Source organism: Homo sapiens, chromosome 3 (assembly GCF_000001405.40).
Source record: "Homo sapiens chromosome 3, GRCh38.p14 Primary Assembly".
Classification (NCBI taxonomy): domain Eukaryota; kingdom Metazoa; phylum Chordata; class Mammalia; order Primates; family Hominidae; genus Homo; species Homo sapiens.
Window position 1 is genome coordinate 72,239,593 of NC_000003.12, and position 3,687 is coordinate 72,243,279.

General features: G+C 46.5%; 1 annotated feature.

Annotated features, from left to right (window-relative positions):
• Positions 2,520 to 2,727: a silencer, noted in NCBI's record as "fragment chr3:72291263-72291470 (GRCh37/hg19 assembly coordinates)". NCBI's record gives its function as "represses an EF-1alpha promoter that drives an FKBP-Casp9 reporter gene in an ReSE screen in K562 erythroleukemia cells {active_cell/tissue: K562}" and the evidence as "EXISTENCE:reporter gene assay evidence [ECO:0000049][PMID:32094911]".

A 3,687-nucleotide genomic window follows, 5' to 3' on the forward strand; every position in this document is an offset into this window, starting at 1 on the left:
TACACTTGCATCTCAAAGCAGCCAGAGCCATCCTTTAAAAATCTAAGTCAGGTCCTGTTCTGCCTCTGCTCAAACCCTGCAATGGCTACACACCCTGCTCAGCATGAAAACCAAAATCCTGTGAGGCTGTCTGGGACCTAGTCTCACAGTTACTTCGCTGAACATCACCTCCTCTCTCCCTTGATCACTTGGTCCAGATGCACTGAAATTCTTGCTGTTCCTCCACCAGGCAGGCACTCCTCTGCTCCCATCCCCCACCCTCGGTAGGGCGCTCACTCTGGCATTCCCACTGCCTAGAACATTTCTCCTCAGATGGCCTCATGGTGCCTAGAACATCCGTTCTTGGATGGCCTCATGGCTCCCTCCTCCAAGGATTTGTTCCAACATCTCTTTCTCCATGAAGCCCACCCTGGGAGCCCTACTTAATATCCCTTCTCTGGCACTCCCAAACTTCCTGGCCAGGGCTATTGATCTTGGCACTTAATCACAGAGCATACTATCTACATGAATACGTACTTTCCTGTCTGCCTCCATCTGCTAGAGTTGAAGCTCCACAGGGGCAGGAACTTCTGTCTGATTGACTGATGGATCATTACCACCTAGACCAGTACCTGGCATACAGCAGGTACTCAATAATTCAACTCAGTAGGTATTGAATGAATAAATGAATGAATGCAGACTAGATATTACCACCAAGCAGCTCTGTGTTTGTACTTCAACAGAAATTTCTGGAAGCTGTTGCTCCAAGCCCAGATCTAGACTCTACTCAGAGGAATTTCAGCCCCTGTTGCCAGCTGGCCAGAGGGAGACTGAAGGACAGGAAGTATTTCTGAGGCCCTTGAATCAAGAGCCACCTTCCTTTCCTGAATGTCACTTCAATCTTGCCCATGGTTCTAGATCACTGCTCATGCCTCAGGGGAGTTTTTCAGCCAAGAAAGAGGCTCCTTTGCAGCCTGAACAGTAACTACTCTTCAAGCCAAAGTTTCCCAAAGTATATTCTTTGCAATGCTGGTCCCAGGAGATGCTCCAAGAAAAATAAGCTCTAGAAACGTACACATTCTCTTTGTCCTTCTCGGAGCTCACAATACATCTTAGCATTGTAAAGGCTTCAAAAGGTCTGGTAGCAAATGCTTTATAGCTTTTGCTATAAACTTGTTCCCAAGTTCCTCAAATTTATTGGACCACACAACCCTTTCTCCAGGAAAACACCAACTAACTCTCCAGGACACTAAGCCTCAGGCCAAACAGCATCATACTCTTCATCCTTTTGTGCGGCAAGGCTTTTCCTGTCTTACTATATCCCAAGACAGTGTATTCTATTCGTTTTTTTCTCCAGCTGGATACACATGATGGACTTGCTGAGATATGAGACTTCCTCATGATCACACTTCCCAGGTAGCCATGTGCTTCTCTTTGTACTGCTGTCCCCAACCTACAATGTGCTGCCATTTCTTCCTTGCCTGTATCAACCAGAGGTCTTACCATTAAAAGTGACAGAAAAACCAACTCAAGCAGACTTAAGCAAACAAAAAGGGAATTTATGGGTTCATATAGCTGAAAAGTTTAAAGGTAAGTCCAGCTTCAGGCATGGCTGGATCAAGGATAAAACTGTGACATTAGGACTCAATTTTTATCCATCTTCCTGCTCGGCCTTCCACTCCAGAGTCTTCTCTTATGTTGACAGTATGGCTACCAAACTGTCAACCTCACGTCTTCCCAAGTTTAATTCCAGCTGGATAGAAATAAAACATTTTCTGGCAGCTCCCTCAAAAGTTTTGAGTTTTGCTCTGATTGAACCCGCTTAGGATCTATCCCCATCCTTGAACCAATCACTATGGCCAGAGGGATGGGATGCACCGACTGACTTAGGCTCAGGCCCTATATGCCACCCCTGGAGCTGGGCTTAGGGCCCTACCCAGACAAGAAGGACTGAAAATGTGTGAAGGGTGCATCTACCCTGCCACCAACCAAAATTAGTCCTTATTGCTGGAAGCAGGAGGGATGGATGCTGAGAAGACAAACTTCAAATGGGCACTACACAGCCTTTACACACATGCAAACACTGCACCTCCTCCAGGAAGCAGTCCTAGATCCACCAAGCCACATCTAAACATCTCTTTTTAGGAATTAACGTATATACACAAATACCTGTAGAGCATAGTGGAAAGTTTTCAGGTGCACAAGAGGAAGTGGTGGGCAGCAAGAAATATTTAAGATTTGGAGTCTGACAGACTTGAGTTCACTCTTCTGAATGTATGACCATGAACAAGTTAAACCTCTCTCAGTTTCCATTTTCTCATCTATACAGATATGAGACTTTTGATAATTCCTACTCGTGGTAGAAAATGTCACCAATAAAGAAAAGTATAAAGAGTAAACTTGGCCAGGCATGGTGGCTCATGCCTGTAATCCCAGCACTTTGGGAGGCCGAGGCGGGTGGATCACCTAAGGTCAGGAGTTTGAGACCAGCCTGGCCAACACGGTGAAACAGTGTCTCTATCAAAAATACAAAATATGCCAGGAGTGGTGGTGCACACCTGTAGTCCCAGCTACTCAGGAACTGAGGCAGGAGAATCGCTTGAACCCGGGAGGCAGAGGTTGCAGTGAGTCAGATCGCACCACTGCACTCCAACTCCAGCCTAGGTGACAGAGCAAGACTCCATCTCAAAAAAAAAAAAAAAAAAAAAAAGAGTAAACTCAAGTCAGCCATTACCCAGGCTCTTCATGTCTGGATCTTGCCCACCCCCTGCCTCCAGCCCCACACAGCAGGGTCATGTCTCTCCCAGACCTCTCCAGGGACAACTGCTCCCTGGCAGCCTGAGGAAGCATCTTGCTGTCTCACCAGTCCATCAGCAAGGAGGCACTTCTTGCAGTCTACCCTGCAGTCTCAGCTGATACAATAGAAGTCAGCTCCTGTGTTCTCAGCCTGCACATCCCCCACCAAGATGGGAGGCCAGAAACAGAATATTTCTTCTGGCAGCTGCCAGCACTCACATGAACAAGAAAAACTCTGGGAATAAAACAAAAGTAAATACAAGTATTCAGCTTCATCCCATACAAAAGCCCTACTGACTCGCGATTAAAATGGGAGAAAGGATGTCCAGGCACCAAGAATGCAACTTTTTTTTTTTCCTTTTAGGAGGCAACCAATCAAACTGAGAAGAGAGCAGCAAAGACCATGCTCCTTGTGGCAGAGATAAACAATGGAGATGGGAAGGAGAGACAAAAAAGGTAGGGGGAAATGTTAAGGAAAGCAGGGACCGATTTTGTCAACGACAGGGCTCCTATTTTCTGAGAGGGATAAGCAGTCTAGGAGACTGCTCAGAAGCGGTCCAGAAGGGAGGCTCAGAGCATCAAGGAAAGAAGACAAACTCTGGAATTCTCCGCATGAGGGCTTAGATGTACATTCATTCATTCATTCATTCCCTGGTCAACAAATTTGTATTAAGCACATGACACATGCTGAATGTGCCGGGCATGGGTGGACACAAAATGCTCAGGCCCTGCCCTCACTGAGCTTAATCCAAAGGGATAGACAGGCGGTGGGCAAAGCCCTCAAATAAATACACAGCCACAAACTGTAATAAAGGACACTAACCCAGAACACTAAGAAAGAGTATCAGGTGAGCCATTCTCTCTCAGGGTGGTCAGAGAAGGCCCCTCTGATAAGGCAGCTCTTAACCCAAG